Source organism: Homo sapiens, chromosome 12, assembly GCF_000001405.40.
Source record: "Homo sapiens chromosome 12, GRCh38.p14 Primary Assembly".
NCBI classification, from domain to species: Eukaryota; Metazoa; Chordata; class Mammalia; order Primates; family Hominidae; genus Homo; species Homo sapiens.
The window spans coordinates 31,143,364-31,167,806 of record NC_000012.12 but is presented as its reverse complement, the minus strand read 5'-3'; the positions used below and the strand labels follow the sequence as shown (position 1 = coordinate 31,167,806).

Genomic DNA, 24,443 nt, shown 5'->3' with positions numbered 1-24,443 from the left:
GTTTGTCAAAGATCAGATAGTTGTAGATATGCGGTGTTATTTCTGAGGGCTCTGTTCTGTTCCATTGGTCTATATCTCTGTTTTGGTACCAGTACCATGCTGTTTTGGTTACTGTAGCCTTGTAGTATAGTTTGAAGTCAGGTAGTGTGATGCCTCCAGCTTTGTTCTTTTGGCTCAGGATTGACTTGGCGATGCAGGCTCTTTTTTGGTTCCATATGAGCTTTAAAGTCGTTTTTTCCAATTCTGTGAAGAAAGTCATTCTTAGCTTGATGGGGATGGCATTGAATCTGTAAATTACCTTGGGCAGTATGGCCATTTTCACGATATTGATTCTTCCTACCCATGAGCATGGAATGTTCTTCCATTTGTTTGTATCCTCTTTTATTTCCTTGAGCAGTGGTTTGTAGTTCTCCTGGAAGAGGTCCTTCACATCCCTTGGAAGTTGGATTCCTAGGTATTTTATTCTCTTTGAAGCAATTGTGAATGGGAGTTCACTCATGATTTGGCTGTTTGTCTGTTGTTGGTGTATAAGAATGCTTGTGATTTTTGTACATTGATTTTGTATCCTGAGACTTTGCTGAAGTTGCTTATCAGCTTAAGGAGATTTTGGGCTGAGACAATGGGGTTTTCTAGATAAACAATCATATCGTCTGCAAACAGGGACAATTTGACTTCCTCTTTTCCTAATTGAATACCCTTTATTTCCTTCTCCTGCCTAATTGCCCTGGCCAGAACTTCCAACACTATGTTGAATAGGAGTGGTGAGAGAGGGCATCCCTGTCTTGTGCCAGTTTTCAAAGGGAATGCTTCCAGTTTTTGCCCATTCAGTATGATATTGGCTGTGGGTTTGCATAGATAGCTCTTATGATTTTGAGATACGTCCCATCAATACCTGATTTATTGAGAGTTTTTAGCATGAAGGGTTGTTGAATTTTGTCAAAGGCCTTTTCTGCATCTATTGAGATAATCATGTGGTTTTTGTCTTTGATTCTGTTTATATGCTGGATTACATTTATTGATTTGCATATATTGAACCAGCCTTGCATCCCAGGGATGAAGCCCACTTGATCATGGTGGATAAGCTTTTTGATGTGCTGCTGGATTCGGTTTGCCAGTATTTTATAGAGGATTTTTGCATCAATGTTCATCAAGGATGTTGGTCTAAAATTCACTTTTTTGGTTGTGTCTCTGCCCGGCTTTGGTATCAGGATGATGCTGGCCTCATAAAATGAGTTAGGGAGGATTCCCTCTTTTTCTATTGATTAGAATAGTTTCAGAAGTAATGGTACCAGTTCCTCCTTGTACCTCTGGTAGAATTCGGCTGTGAATCCATCTGGTCCTGGACTCTTTTTCGTTGGTAAGCTATTGATTATTGCCACAATTTCAGCTCCTGTTATTGGTCTATTCAGAGATTCAAATTCTTCCTGGTTTAGTCTTGGGAGAGTGTATATGTCAAGGAATTTATCCATTTCTTCTAGATTTTCTAGTTTATTTGCGTAGAGGTGTTTGTAGTATTCTCTGATGGTAGTTTGTATTTCTGTGGGATCGGTGGTGATATCCCCTTTATCATTTTTTATTGCGTCTATTTGATTCTTCTCTCTTTTTTTCTTTATTAGTCTTGCTAGCGGTCTATCAATTTTGTTGATCCTTTCAAAAAACCAGCTCCTGGATTCATTAATTTTTTGAAGGGTTTTTTGTGTCTCTATTTCCTTCAGTTCTGCTCTGATTTTAGTTATTTCTTGCCTTCTGCTAGCTTTTGAATGTGTTTGCTCTTGCTTTTCTAGTTCTTTTAATTGTGATGTTAGGGTGTCAATTTTGGATCTTTCCTGCTTTCTCTTGTGGGCATTTAGTGCTATAAATTTCCCTGTACACACTGCTTTGAATGTGTCCCAGAGATTCTGGTATGTTGTGTCTTTGTTCTCATTGGTTTCAAAGAACATCTTTATTTCTGCCTTCATTTCGTTATGTACCCAGTAGTCATTCAGGAGCAGGTTGTTCAGTTTCCATGTAGTTGAGTGGTTTTGAGTGAAGTTCTTAATCCTGAGTTCTAGTTTTATTGCACTGTGGTCTGAGAGATAGTTTGTTATAATTTCTGTTCTTTTACATTTGCTGAGGAGAGCTTTACTTCTAAGTATGTGGTCAATTTTGGAATAGGTGTGGTGTGGTGCTGAAAAAAATGTATATTCTGTTGATTTGGGGTGGAGAGTTCTGTAGATGTCTATTAGGTCCGTGCAGAGCTGAGTTCAATTCCTGGGTATCCTTGTTGACTTTCTGTCTCATTGATCTGTCTAATGTTGACAGTGGGGTGTTAAAGTCTCCCATTATTAATGTGTGGGAGTCTAAGTCTCTTTGTAGGTCACTCAGGACTTGCTTTATGAATCTTGGTGCTCCTGTATTGGGTGCATATATATTTAGGATAGTTAGCTCTTCATGTTGAATTGATCCCTTTCCCATTATGTAATGGCCTTCTTTGTCTCTTTTGATCTTTGTTGGTTTAAAGTCTGTTTTATCAGAGACTAGTATTGCAACCCCTGCCTTTTTTTGTTTTCCATTGGCTTGGTAGATCTTCCTCCATCCTTTTATTTTGAACCTATGTGTGTCTCTGCACATGAGATGGGTTTCCTGAATACAGCACACTGATGGGTCTTGACTCTTTATCCAATTTGCCAGTGTGTGTCTTTTAATTGGAGCATTTAGTCCATTTACATTTAAAGTTAATATTGTTATGTGTGAATTTGATCCTGTCATTATGATGTTAGCTGGTTATTTTGCTCGTTAGTTGATGCAGTTTCTTCCTAGTCTTGATGGTCTTTACATTTTGGCATGATTTTGCAGCGGCTGGTACCGGTTGTTCCTTTCCATGTTTAGCGCTTCCTTCAGGAGCTCTTTTAGGGCAGGCCTGGTGGTGACAAAATCTCTCAGCATTTGCTTGTCTGTAAAGTATTTTATTTCTCCTTTGCTTATGAAGCTTAGTTTGGCTGGATATGAAATTCTGGGTTGAAAATTCTTGTCTTTAAGAATGTTGAATATTGGCCCCCACTCTCTTCTGGCTTGTAGGGTTTCTGCCGAGAGATCCGCTGTTAGTCTGATGGGCTTCCCTTTGAGGGTAACCCTACCTTTCTCTCTGGCTGCCCTTAACATTTCTTCCTTCATTTCAACTTTGGTGAATCTGAGAATTATGTGTCTTGGAGTTGCTCTTCTCGGGGAGTATCTTTGTGGCGTTCTCTGTATTTCCTGAATCTGAACGTTGGCCTGCCTTGCTAGATTGGGGAAGTTCTCCTGGATAATATCCTGCAGAGTGTTTTCCAACTTGGTTCTATTTTCCCCATCACTTTCAGGTACACCAATCAGACGTAGATTTGGTCTTTTCACATAGTCCCATATTTCTTGGAGGCTTTGCTCATTTCTTTTTATTCTTTTTTCTCTAAACTTCCCTTCTCGCTTCATTTCATTCATTTCATCTTCCATCGCTGATACCCTTTCTTCCAGTTGATCGCATCAGCTCCTGAGGCTTCTGCATTCTTCACGTAGATCTCGAGCCTTGGTTTTCAGCTCCATCAGCTCCTTTAAGCACTTCTCTGTATTGGTTATTCTAGTTATGCATTCTTCTAAATTTTCTTCCAAGTTTTCAACTTCTTTCCCTTTGGTTTGAATGTCCTCCTGTAGCTCAGAGTAATTTGATCATCTGAAGCCTTCTTCTCTCAGCTCGTCAAAGTCATTCTCCATCCAGCTTTGTTCCGTTGCCGGTGAGGAACTGCATTCCTTTGGAGGAGGAGAGGCGCTCTGCTTTTTAGAGTTTCCAGTTTTTCTGTTCTGTTTTTTCCCCATCTTTGTGGTTTTATCTACTTTTGGTCTTTGATGATGGTGATGTACAGATGGGTTTTTGGTGTGGATGTCCTTTCTGTTTGTTAGTTTTCCTTCTAACAGACAGGACCCTCAGCTGCAGGTCTGTTGGAATACCCTGCCGTGTGAGGTGTCAGTGTGCCCCTGCTGGGGGGTGCCTCCCAGTTAGGCTGCTCAGGGGTCAGGGGTCAGGGACCCACTTGAGGAGGCAGTCTGCCCGTTCTCAGATCTCCAGCCGCATGCTGGGAGAACCACTGCTCTCTTCAAAGCTGTCAGACAGGGACATTTAAGTCTGCAGAGGTTACTGTTGTCTTTTTGTTTGTCTGTGCCCTGCCCCCAGAGGTGGAGCCTACAGAGGCAGGCAGGCCTCCTTGAGCTGTGGTGGGCTCCACCCAGTTCGAGCTTCCCGGCTGCTTTGTTTACCTAAGCAAGCCTGGGCAATGGCGGGCGCCCCTCCCCCAGCCTCGCTGCCGCCTTGCAGTTTGATCTCAGACTGCTGTGCTAGCAACCAGCGAGACTCCGTGGGGTAGGACCCTCCAAGCCAGGTGCGGGATATAATCTCGTGGTGCACCGTTTTTTAAGCCCGTCGGAAAAGCCCAGTATTCGGGTGGGAGTGACCCGATTTTCCAGGTGCCCTCCGTCACCCCTTTCTTCGACTCGGAAAGGGAACTCCCTGACCCCTTGCGCTTCCCAAGTGAGGCAATGCCTCGCCCTGCTTTGGCTGGCGCACGGTGCGCGCACCCACTGACCTGCGCCCACTGTCTGGCACTCCCTAGTGAGATGAACCCGGTACCTCAGATGGAAAGGCAGAAATCACCGTCTTCTGTGTCGCTCAAGCTGGGAGCTGTAGACCAGAGCTGTTCCTATTCGGCCATCTTGGCTCCTCCCCTCCACAGTCAGTAATTTTTTAAAAAATCCCTCACAGGTAAATTATCAGCCTCTATCTAAGCACATACAATAATGAGGCATTTTGATTACAGAACTGCTCTGCAATAAATGAGAGTTTTAACATAAAAATTGAAAGTACTCACTTTTCAATGTATATCTTCAACCAAAAATTTAGAGCAACCTTTCTCAACTGTTATATAAGAAAATTGCTTTATTGTTTAACTCCACAGAGAATGTTTCGAGAGACCATTTGATGCATAAATAGTACCATTCAGGATACATAGGAGAGAATGGTACTATTTATGCATCAATAAATGTAATATTAATTCATTACATTCAGTAGCTGTATTGGAGACTTAGAGATAATTCTGTTACAGAACTCCGGATGGTAAGGGCTAATTTAAAGTTCCTAGCTTGTTTTTCTTTTCTTTAATTTTCTCAGAACTCTTAGAAGTGATCAGCCTGGTATCGTTCCATAGCAGTGGAAATTTGTGGTCCCCAAATGCTTGCTGTCAATAGGCACTTTGTCAATGGTGAACAGGAGATTATTTGATTATCTTTTTCACCAGTGCGTGATAGGGAGTGCTGAATTTTCATGCCTTGATATTTATATAATTTTCATTGGAGTCCACTTCAGTTAGGCAGACACCCATCCCTAAGGTCTCACTCCTATCTTTCTCAAAGACATTCTGCCTCATTACCAAAGCACATGAGCTCCTGGAAAGATAAATATCTAAATATTCTATAAAATACTGAATATTACCTCACTAATAACATCTGAGATGAGAGGCAAAGATTATGACTATCAGGAATAACCAGAATTTGGGGCCAAATTGTCTTCATTGTAGGACTAACAGAGACCAGATCCATCTTCTGGTTATTTATTCATTTTCCAAATGTGTAGGTATAATTGACAAGTCTAGCAATGATCAGAATTCCCACTGTGGCTCCTCGTGTGTGGAATAAACACATTGGAGTGGATGTGAAAAGGTTCTGCCTATCTTATCCTAAATGAACTAGAAGTTGCCATTATACTCACAGTTCCCTGAAAATAAACTCTTCCATGGCCTCCCCATTTCACTCCCTTCTGATTCCCAGTCTCAGAACAGAGCATCTCATTGGTCGAGCCTGTCATTTACCTGCCCCCTGGATTCAAGGTAATCTGGGAATGGAGTCTTCTAACTTCTTTACTGGAAGTGAAACGCATATGTTGGGAAATTACCAAAGTATATGACAAGTCTACAAATGGCCTGAGGTAAAGATGTACACTCTTTTATAAGCCTTAACAAATGTGTGGCAAGATGATCAGGGATTTAGAACAAGACACATTAAGGGACTAATTCCAAGGAAGTTGAGGAATGAAATTATATTAAAGGGCTTGTTTCTGTCTCTTCTAGAGATATGTCTGGGAACCAAGGTACGGATTGGTAGTGGCTTTTGCAGAATACTTGTTTTCCATCCTCAGGAATAGGAGTTGTTTTCATTTAGACCTTTTAGGATCCAGGAAAGAAGTATATTTTCATTAACATGCTTAAGAATAGTTTCACTGAATTGGAAGCTGAGAGTATTATCTGGCCATTTGGAGATTCCCACATCCAGTCCTCTGGGATAACACAGCCAAACTGTCAAGAAACAGTACATTTACTGATATACTTTGGGGACAGGAGGATGAATGCAACTAAATGGATCTCATGGAGCCCCTCCATGTCCCACAATGCAGTCTTTACATTTCATGGAAGGAGAATGTTACCCTCCCACCACGTTCAAGTGGAACCATCTATGGATCAGATTCCTCAATTTGTGAAATTAAGACCACACAACTGGTAAAGAATCTTAAGGATCTACAGGCTTCACTGCAAGAAAAAAAAAGAAAAGGAATAAAAACATCCTAGTAACTTTTTAGTAAATTCCTTTACTCCTCAAGTTAGCAGGAGAGACGTAATACATTTCATCTCTCAACGTAGATGGCTTTGATAATTTACTTCAAGCAGGATCAGACATTTTTTTTTACTTGTATCGATTGGTCTTGTACAGATTTATAGATTTTTATATTTAAAGAACAATATATTCTATGTAAGTAACATGGATTTAGATATAAAAATTCTGCTTGGCTCTTCTAAGATTATTTCTCCGAGCTTCTCACATACCTAATCTCCAGATAAGAAGGATCTAATAAAAATGAATGTCAAAAATATGAGGGCCCTTCATTGCATCACTTTTGTAACACTCAATAATTCATCCAATCAATTTTGATTAGGGTTGAAGTTCTGATTTCACTCTGATAAGAATGGATTTGCAATTCACAATTCCAGCAGAAAGAACAACCTGGAGCTAATTATCTCTAAGAATGACAGTATTACACACCAAGCCCTGTGAGTCTTCAAGGCCTAGCTAGTTCACAAAACATCTTTAATTTGTTTACTATACAAGTACTTTATTGATGTACCAGCACTCTTCAATATCAAAATATTGACGCAAAAGGTAGCCCTGTCTTCATATAAAATATAATTCATTATGGATCTTCCAGAATAAAAATCTATCCTAAAACAGTTGCTAAATGAACTTATTATGACAGCTTGTGTGTGTTTATTTGTGTAAACTCAATATAACATTTTGGCAAAATATATATTGAACTATCCATCCTAAACATAATCTAATAGGGCTGTTTTCTTCTTGAGATTACTTCTGCAACAAGTTAGCAAAACTATAGCAGAGATGGCCAGTTTTATTAGTACATCAAAAAATAGACCTATCAGAATAAACTTTTGGCCTGAATTCCTCATGTTATGTATTTAAATATTTAGACTAGGACTGGTCACTTCTAGATGTAATTCTTCCAAGGGTTCATATTTTTTTTGACTTGGCCTGGGAAGAGATAGAATTAAATATACAAGGAAAATTTAAGTAAGTTTTGTTAACGTGTAATTCAATTTGATTAGAACAACAATTATTAAGCCAACACTTTACTTAGACATCTATACCCTGATTACAGAATGTGAATTGCAGCCATAATGCAAGAAAATTATATGACTATAATAACAAGGAGCACAGTGGCTTAAAATTTTAAGCTAATATGGGCTGTGAACATGTCATATACATTTTTGTGCCTTGAGCACTTGGATCAGTCCTTGGAACACATCTGACACTCTACAAGTGTTTTAAAATTTTATTTAATCTGAAAAGAATGAAGAAGGAATGAGTTCTGGTGTTCTATTGCACAGTAGGATGACAATAGTTTACAGTAAGATTTAGCAAATTACAAAATAGCTAGATGAGAGGTTTTTGAATGTCTTCACCATAAAAAAAAAAGATAAATGAATGAAGTACTGGTAACACTGCCCCAATATGATCATTATACTAAATATATAGATATGTGTGTGTGTCTGTGTGTGTGTGTGTGTATTGAAACATCAAATTGTACCCCCCCACTTTTTTTTTTATTTTTGAGACAAAGTCTCACTCTGTCACCCAGGCTGGAGTGCAGTGGTATGATCTCGGTTCACTGCAACCTTCACCTCCCACGTTGAAGCGATTCTCCTGCCTCAGCCTCCCAAGTAGCTGGGATTACAGAGGCACACGCCACCATACCCAACTAATTTTTGTATTTTTAGTAGAGATGGGGTTTCACAATATTACCCAAGCTGGTCTTGAACTCCTTGGCTCTAGTGATCTGCCCACCTTGGCATCCCAAAGTGCTAGGATTACAGGTGTGAGCCACTGTGCCCCGCCAATTGTATCCTTTAAGTATGTACAATTACAATACTTTAAAAAAAGAAAAAAGAATAAAGGCAGTACAAGTTTGTATGACCAAAGCATAGTGTATAATCCTCTAAGATTTATAGACATTAGGGTTCTTAAGCCCTCACAGGCTCTACCAAAAGCTACTTGTTTGTTTCATAAGAGAAAATATTGGCCTAAAATAACCCTTGTGAAACTATCCGAAACTATCCGAAATATGGCAGCAAAGGGTAATACTCTCATACAAATTCTGATTGTTTATATTTTTTTCATTATTTTCTAGGATCCTCAAAACAATCGGATTTTTCAATGGCAAAATGTGACTTCTTTCCGAAATATTACCCAACTCTCGTTCCAACTGATTTCAGAACCAATGTTTGGAGATTACTGGATTGTTGTGAAAAGAAACTCAAGGAAGACAGTGACACACCAATTTGCTGTTAAAAGATATGGTAACCAGTTGCTATTTGTAGCTGTCCTATGTAGATGAAGAGTTTAAAGGATGGACCAACACAACATTTGTGTTAGACTTAGGCAGGAGTAGGTGAAGCTAGAACTGGTTTTCTTTGTCTCCCTTCCTTGACCTGGTTGGCTTTGTCATCAGCACTTTGCTGCTCCTCACTCCTTCCCCAGTATCCTTATTCTGATTCCTGCCTTCTTTTTCCCCCTAGAAAATATACATTTTTTCTAGAATCCCCACAGTCTTCTAGGAGAGATCTAAGAGATTGCAATAGAAAGAAAATGTGAGGCCGGGTGTGGTGGCTCACGCCTGTAATCCCAGCACTTTGAGAGACTGAGGTGAGTGGATCATGAGGTCAGGAGTTGGAGACCAGCCTCACCAACATGGTGAAACCCAGTCTCTACTAAAAATACAAAAATTAGCCCAGCGTGGTCGTGCATGCCTGTAATCCCAGCTACTCGGGAGGCTGAGGCAGGAGAATGGCTTGAACCCTGTAGGCAGAGGTTGCAGTGAGCCAAGATTGCACCACTGCACTCCAGCCTGGGCAACAGAGTGAAACTCCGTCTCAAACAAACAAACAAAAAGAAACAAAATGTGAAATTCTGAGGATAGGGAAAAGAAAAGAAAGAGGAAGAATTAATCATTAGTGAGACACCACCATGTAGAATGGTGCCACACAATTTGGGGCAAATGATACATAGCTCATACAGATGGAGGGTACAAGGAATCATAGTAAGCTATATGACTGCAATAAGGTTTGCTTGCCTGTGATTGTGCAGGCTAACGTATATTTCTCTTCGTTTCCAGTGCTGCCCAAGTTTGAAGTTACGGTCAATGCACCACAAACAGTAACTATTTCAGATGATGAATTCCAAGTGGATGTATGTGCTAAGTGAGTATTTCTTCAGGAGATTTACCTTCACAAGAAAACACAAAGCTCAGAGAGAATGAGAAGTGAGATTAACCATGAAACTTTAATTATTTATATGCTTACATTAATGTTATTAGAGAAGCAATGAATCCTCACTGTAGAAAATTTGAAAAATATAGAGAAAAACACAAGACATTACCTATTATTAATTTGACCAACTGCCATTAACATTGTAATGTCACTAACATTGTAAGTTTCCTCTAATTTTAATGAATATTTTCCATGACTGCAATCATACTTTTCTATTTATAATAATTAAGAAAACATGCCTACGTATTATGCCAATCTTTTCATGAATTCCAATTTTCTGCTGCACATATTTTTATGTGACTATACCCAATTTAATTATTTTATTATATAATATGTTGGCTGTTTCATTTTGTTTTCCTGGTAATTAATAATTTTGCAGTATATGTCTTTGTGTATAACATATAATAGGTAGCTTTTGAATGAAAAATTGTTTACTTAAGAAAGATTTCCAGAAAAGGAATTACCAAGACAAAATATGTAACATTCTTTTAGTCTTCTGATTGCCATACTCCTCACTAAACATGTTGTGCCAGTGTAGGATTCTAGCAGCTGGTGTGAAATTCTCATTGAATCTTTACTATCATGGCATATTTTCATTAAAATTAGAATATGAGCTATTGAAATGGCAAAGTGAAGACAAAGCATCTTATCAAGTTAATCTGAATTATTTGAATTCTCTTAATGTAAAAAAAATACACGATTTCAGAAATTTGTATTTTGTTTTTGGAAAATTATTTTTAATTTTTTTTTCTTTTTTAGTGCCTTTTCTCGAATTTCTAATAATAATTTATAAACAATTGGCCAGGCACGGTGGCTCACACCTGTAATGCCAGCATTTTGGGAGGCCAAGGTGGGGGAGGGATCATCCGAGGTCAGGAGATCGAGACCAGCCTGGCCAACATAGCGAAACCCCGTCTCTACTAAAAATACAAAAAATTAGACGGGCATGGTGGCAGGCACCAGTAATCTCAGCTACTGGGGAGGCTGAGGCAGGAGAATTGCTTGCACCCAGGAAGCAGAGGTTGCAGTGAGCCGAGATCATGCCACCTCACTGCAGCCTGGGCAACTGAGTGAAACTCTGTCTCAGAAAAAAATAAAATAAAATAAAAAATAAAATAAATGTTTTTTGAATGTCAACTAGTTTGTTAAGCTCTGCATATATCATTACCACAGTGCTATGAGATAGGAGCTATTGTCATCTGTATTTTATAAAGAAAGATAATAAGACACAGAGAATTAAAATAACTTATCAACAGTAATGGAGCTTGTTGATGGCAGAACTAGGATTTAGACCTAGGTTTTTCAGCTTCAAAGCTACTCTCCTAATCAATAACTGTCATATACTTTATAAAAACAGTTAACAATATTAATATTTGCCATATTTGTTAAGCACTTTGTTTAATTTATGACATGAAAATTACTTGCCTTTGAGTATTTCCAGCAGTCTATTAAAGATACATTGATTAAAGGGCTGTCTAATGAACGTGCAAGCGTGGTTCTTAAGATGCCTTTGATGCCCCAGAGAATCTTGCAAACCAGTTTTCAGCCTTCTTTTTTTTTTTTCAGTAGCATTTCAAATCTTCTTTTGACTTTAGGAAATGATTATAAATTTTTTTCTAAGTTTTAATGAAGAGTAGTTGAAAATACCAGAATTTAATATACGTAATAGATGAGAGACTGTGTAGATCACTGATGTTAAAAATGATGAGGTGATAAATTCAAGTTGGAAGAAATCCAGAATACTAAACAGGTTTCACTAGAAAAGCCAAACGCAAAGCCAGAGCTTTCAGTGGCATTAACATCTCATTTATTTATCTGCACGATAGTATGCTAAAAACAAAACCCACAACACATTGGAAGAACAAAAATGTTTCTCAAGCATGGCCTTTGGAAAATACTTGCAAACCACATGCTAACATGGAACTGGTAGTTCCTTAGCAGTATGTCAGGTTACAATCCATGATCCTGATTTCTTGAAATTTCTTTGATATTGTATTCTGGATAGAGTTACATAGGAGTAAATCAGTATCAGCAATAATAATATCTTGCCAGGAGACCAGGCAGCTAGACTGGAGCTGTGCTTGCTACAAAGTTATTTCTGGGCAGATTGTGAGAGCACTGTTTCTAGAAGGTTCACGTCAGTTGTATACTGTGTCTCAAATTGTATGATACTGTGTCTGTGTTTCTTTAGTCTTTTCTGGGATTTAGCTTGGAATGACTAGAGAAAACAAGAAAAAAATTGGATTATTTTAGCAAACAAAGTCAGAGATGACTTAGGCTTTTAAGAGGGAAGAAAATTTACCTACAGACAAAGAGATTTTAATACACTGCATTAGCATTCACTGAAAGCTTTTCAAATCACAAAGGGATTATTCTGTCCTGTTTTTAAAATTTAAGCTACATGTCTTATAGGCATATGTTAGCTTACAGATAATACTACAATAAGACTTTTATTGTATAAATAAAAGACATTAAGTAGAAATAAGAAGAAATGTTCAGGTATAATATGTGTGGCCAGATCTAAGTCTGGCCTTTATATAATCATGATTTTATTGGTATGATTTGACTCAGAATCTCAAAAGTGTTAGGAATTTTTAAATAGAAAGAGAAAAAGGTGAGTGGAAAGAAAAGGGCACGGGCTATGGAGTGAGGTAGATCTGAGTTCGAATTTTAGTTTCATTAATTACAATGTGGAGAAGTTACTTGACCTCATTTTACAAATCAGGGTCACTGGGAAAAATAAATGATATATATCAGTGTCCAACAATTAGAAAAAAGTATTATAATCTGTGAAAATAATATTCACTTTTATTATATGCTAGTTTTACATTTGTTGTCTATTAACAAAACAAAAAACTCCAATTGACTGGATTTGCCTTTGGTTGAACCTTTAAAATCTTGTGTTGTAGTTTTGTGTTTTAGGAGAAAATGAGATACTCAAACCCACCCTGTAAGGTATTATATTTTTGGTCAAAGCATAACCAGTTCATGCCAGCCCCATAGCCTTTATATTTATTGAGTGGTAAATAAAAATTCGTGTTTAAAATGTTGATCTGGAAATGTTTCAGGATCCTGAATCATCCAAGTTTTATATACATATATATTTTTCTGATAAAAGGGAAAGTGCTGCAATGTTATGATGTTTCTATCAGATTAAAATATATTTTTAAAAAACTCAATTTAAGCATTAAATCATATTCAATGAGATTTTAGATTATTTTAGATTCTGCCTTACCCTGAATTCAATTTTTTAAAGGCAGCCAAATCCTCCTGAGATCAAATGCCCAGTTTAACCTGAATTCTGTGGGGAACCTAAACCCTCACCAATAGGGAGAATTCCTAATTCAATTTGGTTAGACTGGGTTACTCACAGTTTAGAGACTTCCTATATAATTTCTGAAGAAGATCATAAAATATTGCTATGATATTGCTTATCTGTAATCATAACTACACCTTCCCCCATGAGGTACACCTTTGGCCAACCTGTGCAAGGGAAAACCCAAATCCGGGTGTGCAGAGAGTATTTTTCTTCAAGCAATTGTGAGAAAAATGACAATGAAATATGTGAGCAATTTATTGCACAGGTACAGACCATGATCTTTACTCCAAAAAAAAGTTCTCACTCATTTTTCATTCTTATTCTTTCTTTGATTTCATTTATAAGGGGAGCTTAACAATACTATTTTCATTTTATTGATAATGGAGTTTGCAGCTAAATAAAGTGAAGAAAGAGAAGAAAATACAGTGCTTAAAGCAGTTTTTTATTCCATAGACCATGTAAATTGTTCTCCACCTATAGATTCATGGGATTTTTAGAATATGAAAGGTATCGTGGGCTTTGTTGTTTTATATATCGCCTAGGTAGCCTTCCTGATTTTTCTTTGGAGAATCGTTAATCATCCTTTAAATGAGTCTGTGATATTACTCTCCATGCCACCTGGATTTTTTTTAGTGGAAACAGCTTACTTTCAATCAACTGCAATTCAGAGTACCCCCACTATGTTACTTTAGACTTGCAGTTCATATGTGAAGTCATCATTTGCTCTATCTGCAGCATCCTAACCTTAAGTGAACAGCTCTTCCTATCTCTTTGAAATTGTCTTTTGACTCCCCAAAGTGAAGCTTGTGTATGCCACATAGTTCATATTTTAAGTCCAATTGTCCTAAAGTTACTCATCAAATTTAGTGAACATCCTCTAGGTAAATATCAATAATTGACAAAGACAAGCAGAATCCTACCTTTACATAGGAAATGCAGGCAAAGAAAACTAGGGTGGAATTTTTCCATGTCAGCAGTACATTCTGATAGAGTTCAGTCAACCGTTTTACACAGTGATGGGTGTTCCCTCAGCAAATGGTTTACTTTTTTCCCCATGTGAAAAAAATACCAATAAACAATCTGGTAGAGGCTAGGAGCAGTGGCTCACACCTCTAATCTGAGCATGTTGGAAGGCTGAGGCGGGAGGATCGTTTGATTCCAGGAGATCGAAACCAGCCTGCGCAACATAGTGAGCCCCTTCTCTACAAAAATTAGCCAGGCACAGTGGTGCACATCTGTGGTCCCAGCTACAGGGAGGCTGAGGCAAAAGAATCACTGGAGCCCAGGAGGTCAAGGCTGCAGTGAAGTGTGTTCGCACCACTGTACTCGAGCCTGGGCAACAGAGCAAGACCTGCCTCAGAAAAAGAAAAAAAAAAAAATCTGTCCGGTGGAACTATCTTTATATATGAGAGGCTTTATTTACTTGAAATAAATTTCTTAGAGTGAGTTTCCTGAGTCAAAGGAAATATAGATAATGTTCATAGACAGATAATTTTAATTTTAATAAATATTAGCATATTGCTCTCCTAAAAGTTTTAGGCATTCAAATTCCTGTCAGAAGTACATGAGAATACTATATTTTCCAAATTACTTTCAGCAATATATTTAGAAGTTTTAAAAGTTTTTGTCATTTTGATAGACACAAATTTAGCTTGTTTTAACTTGTGCTATCTAATTTCGATTTAGTTTGAGCAACTTTTCATATTTTTGTTATCAATTTGGATTTGAGAACTCTTAATTACCCATGTTTTTCTGTTCATGTGAAATGGAAACTTTCAGGTAAGTACTGCCTTCCATCCTACAAGCATTTTTTTTCAAGCCTGTTATTTAAATAGGCAACTCATTTACTTTGTCATATTTTTGACATACCCACCTTCCTTATGTTCCTGGGTTTCCAGCCTTAGAAAAAAAATCTCACTGGCCCCTGTGTTGTACATGTGGCTATCTAAGTATGCTCTTAAGATTGTTTACAATTTTCTAATAGACATAAAGTTCACTTCCAATGATGTTCTAAAATGGGAATTTTTCTTCCAGATGTGGGCTGTGTTGTGTTAGCACCTATCTCACAATTTTGTTCTCTCTCACTCTTTGTCCTAAATCATGCCCACGAAAGTTTCGTCTATTTTATTGGTTCTTATTTTTACTATTTTCTTTCTTTTATTATTTTGTGTTCCTAAATAATTTATTTTCTCTTTCATCTTATTAATTCTTTTTCCTAATATTTGTAGTTGATTTTGTTGGGGTTTAAAAAATATATTAGCTGTTTCTTTTAGTAATAAGCACATTCACTGTTTTACATTTCTTCTGAACTGCAGCTGAATACCATTGACTTTGATGCGAAGTATTTTTTCATTACTCTAATATCTGGATTCTTATTGGTTTACTTTATGTATTCTCTTTGTTTCAAGGATTCCTGAAAAAAGGCTTTTCTCTTATTTTCGAAATAATTAAGGTTCTTCTGATCACTTTCTATGATTTCATTTTAATTTGACTATATTATCATTAGACAAAATAAAATTGCTTTTGTTGTTGATGTAATGGCTGTTAATTTAAGATAGAGAAGCACATACTCTGGAGCCAGAGCAGCTCCTCAGCACCACCGTCTCTTAGCTGTGAGATCTTGGACAGGTTACATGATGGACCTAGTTTAGTTTCTTCATCTATATAGTAAGATAATAACAGTACCTAGCTCATGTAATAGTTTTGAGTATCAAATAAACTAATATATCCTTATAACATTTTAAATCTGGAATAAACACTGTGTTATAAAATATAACTAAATTTATATTTCTCTAATTATTATTACTGATGATAGATTAACTATAGATTTTTTGTTATTTTAAATAAGCAATATACCTTAAAAAGTGTTTGTTTTGTTGTTACACATGTGCTGAGCGCTTCTGTTCCATCTGTTTTAGTGCCTTTCTAGATGATTAGAATTTCTTCCTCTTAAAACACTGTGAACCAAAAGTATCTGAGACAGATGTCAATCAATTTGCAAAGCTTATGTTGCCAAGGTGAAGGATGTACCTATGACAGCCTCCAGAGGTCCTACCAACATGTGCCCAAGGTGGTTGGGCTACAGCTTGCTTTTATACATTTCAGGGAGATGTGAGACATCAACAAATATGTGTAAGATGTACATTGGTTCGGTCCAGAAAGGCAGGACAATCCAAACTAAGGGGGTTTCCAGGTCATAGGTAGATAAGAGACAAACAGTTGCATAAAGAAGAAGTCTTTGAGGCCAGGTGCAGTGATTCACAGCTGTAATCCCAGCACTTTGGGAGGCCGAGGCGGGCAGATCACGTGAGGTCAGGAGATCGAGACCAGCCTGACCAACGTGGAGAAACCCCATCTCTACTAAAAATACAAAAATTAGCCAGGCGTGGTGGCAGGTGTCTGTAATCCCAGCTACTTGAGAGACTGATGCAGGAGAATCGCTTGAACCTGGGAGGCGGAGGTTGCAGTGAGTCAAGATTGGGCTATTTCACCCCAGCCCGAGTGACAGAGCAAGGCTCTATCTAAAAAAAAAAAAAAAAAAAAAAAAGAATAAGTCTTTGTCTTTGATCAGCCTTTCACTGAATACACAAATTACATGTGAGAGGAGGATAGAGGAATAGTCACTCCTGCCTTAGTGTGGCTCAGTAAATCTGCATTTTTACATAAACTATTAGGCAGAGGAAGCAATCAGATAAATCAGATATGTATTTGTCTCAGGTAAGCAGAGGGATGACTGAGTCTGTCTTTTGTCCCACGCCTGTAAAGATAAGCTATGAATTTATATTGCCAGGGTGAATTTCCAAAGAACTGTTTTAAGGAAAAGTTCTTGAGGCCCACAAAGAATTTCCTTGTGGGCAAATTGTGAGGGAGGTATGTAGTTTTTATCTTTGTAGCTACCTTATTTGGGAATAAAATGGGAGACAGATTTGCCCAGCTGTTCCCAGCTTGCCCTTTCCCTTTAGCTTAGGGATGTTGGGCTCCTGAGATTTACTTTCCTTTCACAATACCATTCAGCTTCATTTCCATCCTTTAATCTTTTCTCATCTACAATGTTTCCAGGAGAATTTCCTTGAAATCTGTAAAATACAGATTACCTCCTTCCGTTATTTAAAATGCTGATGTAAATATTCGCCTCCTCCTACTCCTCCTCTAATTCTTTGGCCATTTCAACAAGTTTATGAGGTAGAGCCGTGGCACGGGGTGGGGATGTTAATATATTTGTGCAAAAACCATATTTTAAAAGACACTTAAAAAAACCTCTTGGATCTCTAACATTTTAATTATACCTTCTCTTTATTTTTCAGTTGGAAAATGGTTGTGTTTCTCAAATTGTAAATACAAAAGTCTTCCAACTCTACCGTTCGGGATTGTTCATGACATTTCATGTCGCTGTAATTGTTACAGAATTTGGGACAGGAAATTACTGTATTTTTTGGACGACCTGGGGATATATGTATGGCAACTTACTGGGAGAAGCTTGTTGAGTTAGCACTAAGTACAAAATTCAGATTATTTCTAATTTAATACAACTGGGAATAGTTGCAAGTGCAAAAATTATTACTGAAAAATTTACAAGATTGCACAAAGTGAGTGTTCAATAAGTATTTGTTAAAAGAATGAAAGAAGAGGCCGGGCACGGTGGCTCACGCCTGTAATCCCAGCACTTTGGGAGGCCAAGGCAGGTGGATCACCTGAGGTCAGGAGTTCAAAATCAGCCTGGCCAGCATGGTGAAACCCTGTCTCTACAAAAATACAAAAAATTAGCTGGGCATGATGGTGAATGCCTGTAATCCCAGCTACTCGGGAGGCTGAGGCAGGAGAATCGCTTGAACCCGGGAGGCGGAGGTTGCAGTGAGCTGAGATTGCACTATTGCACTCCAGCCTCCAGCCTGGGTGACACATCAAGACTCAGTCTCAAAAAAAAAAAAAAAAAAAAACCAGAAAGAAGGGAGAAAGAGATTATTTAATTTGGAGTGGGAAAATCAGATTTAACTACTAATTATTTCTTGTTATTTAAAAAGGAGTTTGTGATTATGCCATTGTAAAGTGCTCTATATAAGCATACTTGATCAATATCATGATGCTATTCACACTGGGCAAGCTGGTCACATTTATATTGCTGTGGATGGTAACTTAGATATTTTCACTCTGCTGTGTTCATCATTCCTTACAGGTATGCAGATCAGTGAGAAGACCTCAGTTTTTATCACTCAATTGCTTGGAACTGTAAACTTTGAGAACATGGATACTTTCTACAGAAGAGGGATTTCTTATTTTGGAACTGTAGGTTTGACTAAAGAATACATGCTTCCATTTCATTTTCTTGGATCATAGATTGCCCTTTGAAAATTTCTGGTCACTTTTTTCCTACTTTTGTAATACATTTTAAGCACTACTATGTCTGAGGTGCTAGAAAGTGTCCTAGATTGAAAGAAGCAATAGATAACAGTATCATTTTTTCCATACTTTATATTATATATCTATGTATTTAATAGAGCATCTTTCTGTCTGTTGGAATTTAGGAAAATGACTAGGGATCACATTTATGAGTAGAAAACTATTTCTCTGTAAAAATGTAAACATTTTGTGTTTTAAGTCATATTAATTATTCTTTTCTTGTACAGCTTAAATTTTCGGATCCCAATAATGTACCTATGGTGAACAAGTTGTTGCAACTGGAGCTCAATGATGAATTTATAGGAAATTATACTACGGACGAGAATGGCGAAGCTCAATTTTCCATTGACACTTCAGACATATTTGATCCAGAGTTCAACCTAAAAGTAAGACATCAAAGAACAGAAGAAGACCATTAGACATCCCACAGAGGATTTGGATATCAGAAATGTTAAACATTAGGAATATCTCAAAAGATAGCTTGTATACAGAATCTATTTTAAAGAAAATTTAAAATGTAACTTATTTTATAAATTTGCTTGTTCACTAAATAATACATGAGAATACTTGTTCAAGGGGATGGGAAGCTAAAAGTCTATCACGATTGTTATAAATTTGCTAACAACTAATATTTTCCTCTAGGAAACAAGAAGTAGCTCATGAGGATGATTTGACTTTCTTCCTCAGATCATTTCATGCATAGATAGGGGAGATCCTATACTTTCTGTTTATTTTCCGCTGCTTAAACAGAATTTTGCAGTTAAATAATTTGTCAGTGTTCACATGTAGCTGAAAGAAACAGAACTGAAACCCAATTCTGTGGCTTCAATTAAAGTGTAAAAAACATAACAATTCACCATCAGTCTAATGAAATATTTACACAATCTTTCATGGTCACGTTTTGTATACAAAGAGCAGAGTGCTATTATTATTTTGATTCCAATAACTTAACATTAAAACGTCAGCCACAAGCTGAGATTCCTCCCTACTCTGGAGAGTTGAGAAGCCTCCATTCTCAGTAACAACTGTCTTCGGATGTCATGATACTAAGACCCTTCACTTTCTTTTGTCATCTCAGGCCACATATGTTCGACCTAAGAGCTGCTATCTTCCCAGCTGGTTGACGCCTCAGTACTTGGATGCTCACTTCTTAGTCTCACGCTTTTACTCCCGAACGAACAGCTTCCTGAAGATTGTTCCAGAACCAAAGCAGCTTGAATGTAATCACCAGAAGGTTGTTACTGTGCATTACTCCCTAAACAGTGAAGCATATGAGGATGATTCCAATGTAAAGTTCTTCTATTTGGTAAGTCTCAGTCAGTGGGTTCCTGGAATCCTGTTCAATTGCACGTCTGCTTAGCCCAGCACAGCTTAGAAATCATGCATCAGTCATGCCACGGTGACCAGAGTAAGGGCAGCCTTCTCACTTTGCTGGTGAATACTGTTCGATCCATTAACAACAAACAAACACATAGAACGATCTAAGGCAATTAAAGTTTCCCTAAGGTTGAAGAACTTGCTGTTCAGAGTCCACTTGTTTAAGCATTCAAATGTAACTCATATCAAGTATTTATGACACTTTGTAATAGTAAAATATTGGGCAGATGCCAGAAAGTAAGGTGGAAAGCTTATGTTGATAAGCAGTAAAAGGACTTTATTCTCTTGGTTCTGTCCATTTTGTCTTTCTAAGGAGGAGCCCCCAACCTTTGTGGCACCAGGGACTGGCTTCATGGAAGACAATTTTTCCACAGATGGGGTGGGGATGGTGGGATGGCTTCAGGATGATTCAAGCATATTACATTTATTGTTCACTTTATTTCTATTATTATTACATACTCACCATAATGTGGAATCAGTAAGAACCCTGTGCTTGTTTTCCTGCAGCTAGATGGTCCTATCTGTTGGTGATGGGAGACAGTGACAGATTTTTAGGCATTAGATTCTCATAAGGAGCGCACAACCTAGATCCCTCACACGTGCAGTTCACACCAGGGCTTGTGCTCCTATGAGAATCTAATACCACTGCTGATCTGACAGGAGCTCAGGTGGTAATGCTTGCTCACCGCACTGCTCACCTCCTGCTGTGTGGCCTAGTACCTGACAGGCCATGGATACGTACCTGCCGGTACACAGCCTGGGGACTGGGGCCTTCTGCTCTAAGGCCTGTTGAAGAGTGATAAGACACAGACCTGGAAATTAAGACATTAACTTGAATCCCCCACCCTCTCCTAGTTAGCATGCAAGTTAGTGCATCTTGGACGGATTGTTTGAACTCTTTAACCCTTGGCTTCCTCAGGTGTACAGTGTAATTGGAGATTATAAGACTTACCTCTTAGGGTAAGTGTTCTGTGTCAGGCACTGTTATAAAGATTGTATATGTGTTAACTCATTTAATTAGCCTTATAGATATCTCCATTTTACAGATAATGGAACAGAGGCAAACAGGTAAAACATCATGTTTTAAGTCACAAAGTTAATGAGCAGGTGAAGGCGTATTTGAAACCGGACAGCCTTGACAATTTCAGAGCTTTATGTGCCACTTTGCACAGTGCATTGCACATAGTTCACAAAGTTTCCAGTACATGATAGAATCTCAATCAGTTTTAGTCACTTTCTCTGCTCTTTTCCAACTTACGCAAAGTCTATTTTTAATATTTGCTTGTGGAAGCTACCCTATCTTATGGAACAGAATTACCATTAAGTAATGAATTACCTAATCTCAATATGAGAATATGATGACATCAGATAATATATTGCATGTTATGTTTTCTTTGTTCCACACAGATGATGGTAAAAGGAGCTATCTTACTCAGTGGACAAAAGGAAATCAGAAACAAAGGTATACATAATGTATTCATTTTAAAATATGTGCTCTAACTTCATTTTTTCTTGTTAAGGATATATAGACATTATATATATGGGGATTATATATATTAAGAAAATATATTTATATATAGTCAAACATATATGTGTGTGTGTATATATATATGTGTGTATATATGTATGTGTATATATATATAGTGAAAAGAAGAACGAGCACTTATTTCAATTTGTGGATGAAGGGAATAGTTAGCACAGCCTGAGGGAAGCTACTAAATGTCCTGATGAAGGAGAGTTCTACTGTTTCTTTTATTGTCAGATCATTGAGTACATTAGAAAAGTGGTGTACAACCGCATATTCTCACTCATAGGTGGGAATTGAACGGTGAGAACACATGGACACAGGAAGGGGAACATCATACTCTGAGGACTGTTGTGGGGTGGGGGGATGGTGGAGGGATAGCATTGGGAGATATACCTAATGCTAGATGACGAGTTAGTGGGTGCAGCGCACCAGCATGGCACATGTATACATATGTAACTAACCTGCACATTGTGCACATGTACCCTAAAACTTAAAGAATAATAATAATAATAAATAAAAAATAAAAAAAAGAAAAGTGGTGTACAAAATCCCAGTATTGTTATTATCTAAATTATGCAGTCTTCTTTATTTGTGTATGTACTTCCTATTATTTGATTTATTTGTCTTGAAAACAGGGCCCAATTTACTCTTTCTGTCCATGAGCTATTCTCTTTTATCTAAGTGTACCAGTGATTCAGGAAACTTTCAGCATCGTATCTCTTCGTCTCCTATTTACACAGCCTGGAATGGAAACTTCTCGTTCCCACTCAGCATCAGTGCTGATCTGGCTCCTGCAGCCGTCCTGTTTGTCTACACCCTTCACCCCAGTGGGGAAATTGTGGCTGACAGTGTCAGATTCCAGGTTGACAAGTGCTTTAAACACAAGGTGATGTTTCTCCTATTTCTGGCCTGAGAAGTGGGAACAGTTTGCTCCCTGCTGTCTTCTCGCCTGACTGCTATCACCTTCACGTGGGAAACTTACACTCAGTGCTGGCATAATTGAATTATTAGGGGATGTGAGAATCACCAAACACAATGCATGATCCTTGGCAGCAGTGCCAATCCTGAGACGGCAGCACGTGGTGAAGGGGGTCTCCTGCAAAGAAAGCTGAGGGTGAGAGTGGGCAAAGGAAATACCGTATAGAAATCTATAAGGATTTATTCAGGAGAGATTAAATGTATTCAGATCATCTTTACATAAAATGGTCTCTACTCTCATCTCTTTTTTTTCTCTACTTTAGGTTAACATAAAGTTCTCTAACGAGCAGGGCTTACCTGGTTCCAATGCTAGTCTCTATCTTCAAGCGGCGCCTGTCTTATTCTGTGCCCTCGGGGCTGTGGATGGGAACGTCCTTCTACTGAAATCTGAACAACAGCTGTCAGCTGAAAGTGTAAGCTCTCTGACTTCCTCGTTTTTCATGTTTCTCTGGACTACCAGAAGTCTTATCCTTCAGATGATGTCTTGAACATGTTGAAAATATTGAATGTTTTCTTCCTTTGTTCCTTCGTGGATTATATACGTATTTTTCTTGGCTATCCTAAGAGCATGCTTATAACAATACAGAATTTGATAGATAATTATAACAGTTTAGGAATTTTACAACTGTGATTTTTAAAAATCATAGGTGTAATCACAGAAGTGGAAACTTGGAATAAAATGAAATCTCTATGTTCAAGGATATGCTTGGATTCAGTGTAAAGTTATTATCTATAAATGGATATTGTATTTTCTTAAACATTTCCAGACCTGGAATTCCAGAAGTTCACATCCAATTTATTTCGCTTAACAATTGTTGGATATTTTCCGTTTATTTCTAACACAATTACATATAAATAACTATTGAAATTTATGATCATATTTAAATCTAATTTAAATTGTGTACTTTGTGCAAAGTATACAAAGACATAAAGAAGGAAATCTTTAAAATCATTTATAGTCCTAACACTTAGGCATCTTTATAGTTTTGCTGTAATTTTTCAAGTCTCTTTTCTGAAGGCATATATATTTTACAAACTTGAGATCTCACCAAAAAATAGTTTTGTATTTTGCTTTCAACATTCTGTAGTAAGTCCAGTTTTAAGTATAAAATTATAGAATTCAGTAATAATATTGAATAACTATAGATCATTATATAAAACATTTTTCTCAATGCAAAACATAAATACATTTAAGTTTTCTATTACAGGGAGCAAAAATACTTTTAGTTAGAAGCTTTCAGAATCTGAGGGGACATCAACAAATAAAGGATAAATTTATCTATAAATATGGAATATGGCCATGTGCTGTGCTCACGCCTGTAATCCCAGCACTTTGGGAGGCCAAGGCGGGCAGATCGTTTGTGCTCACGAGGTCGAGACCAGCCTGCACAACATGATGAGACTCTGTCTCCCCCGAAAATATAAAAAATGAGCAGGGCACAGTGGTGTGCACCTGTGATCTCAGAAACTTGGGAGATTGACATGGGAGGATCACTTGAGCCCTGGCGGGGGCAGAGGTTGCAGTGAACCAAGATCGTGCCACTACACTCCATCCTGGGTGACAGAGCGAGACCCTGTCTCAAAGAAAAAAAAGGAATATGTATATATATATGTGTGTGTGTGTGTGTGTGTGTACATATATATGTTTATATATGTACACACACACACACTCCTTTTTTTTCCCTTGAGAGTTTCATGGATTCAGAGTAAATAGCTTCTGCTCATTCTTTCTACAGTTGGAGGTGGCAATATCTTAGGAAAACTGCCTCAAGAAAAGACCATCAAGGGACCTCAAAAAGAAAATTCTAGAGGCATTATTCAGGGGTCTCAGAATATATCAGAGCCAAAAGAGGTTGCCCTTGTTTATTATTGATAGCTATATTAATAGTATAAATCAAGTGAAGTTCTATAAATGAGTGAATTCCAATTTATATTCTATAAGTTTATGTTATTT

The 24,443-nt window shown here is 37.6% G+C and overlaps 1 pseudogene across 1 annotated transcript in view; it reads left to right on the top strand.

The window, feature by feature from the left end:
- The window catches only part of OVOS2P (ovostatin 2, pseudogene), an 89,584-nt pseudogene that overhangs the window by 33,429 nt on the left and 31,712 nt on the right, over positions 1-24,443 (top strand). The window contains exons 15-22 of the transcript NR_153414.1: positions 8,753-8,921; positions 9,737-9,821; positions 18,383-18,492; positions 18,834-18,992; positions 19,685-19,912; positions 21,391-21,445; positions 22,252-22,397; positions 22,753-22,902. The product of NR_153414.1 is annotated as an ovostatin 2, pseudogene (transcript). The remainder of the gene's footprint in view (positions 1-8,752; positions 8,922-9,736; positions 9,822-18,382; positions 18,493-18,833; positions 18,993-19,684; positions 19,913-21,390; positions 21,446-22,251; positions 22,398-22,752; positions 22,903-24,443) is intronic.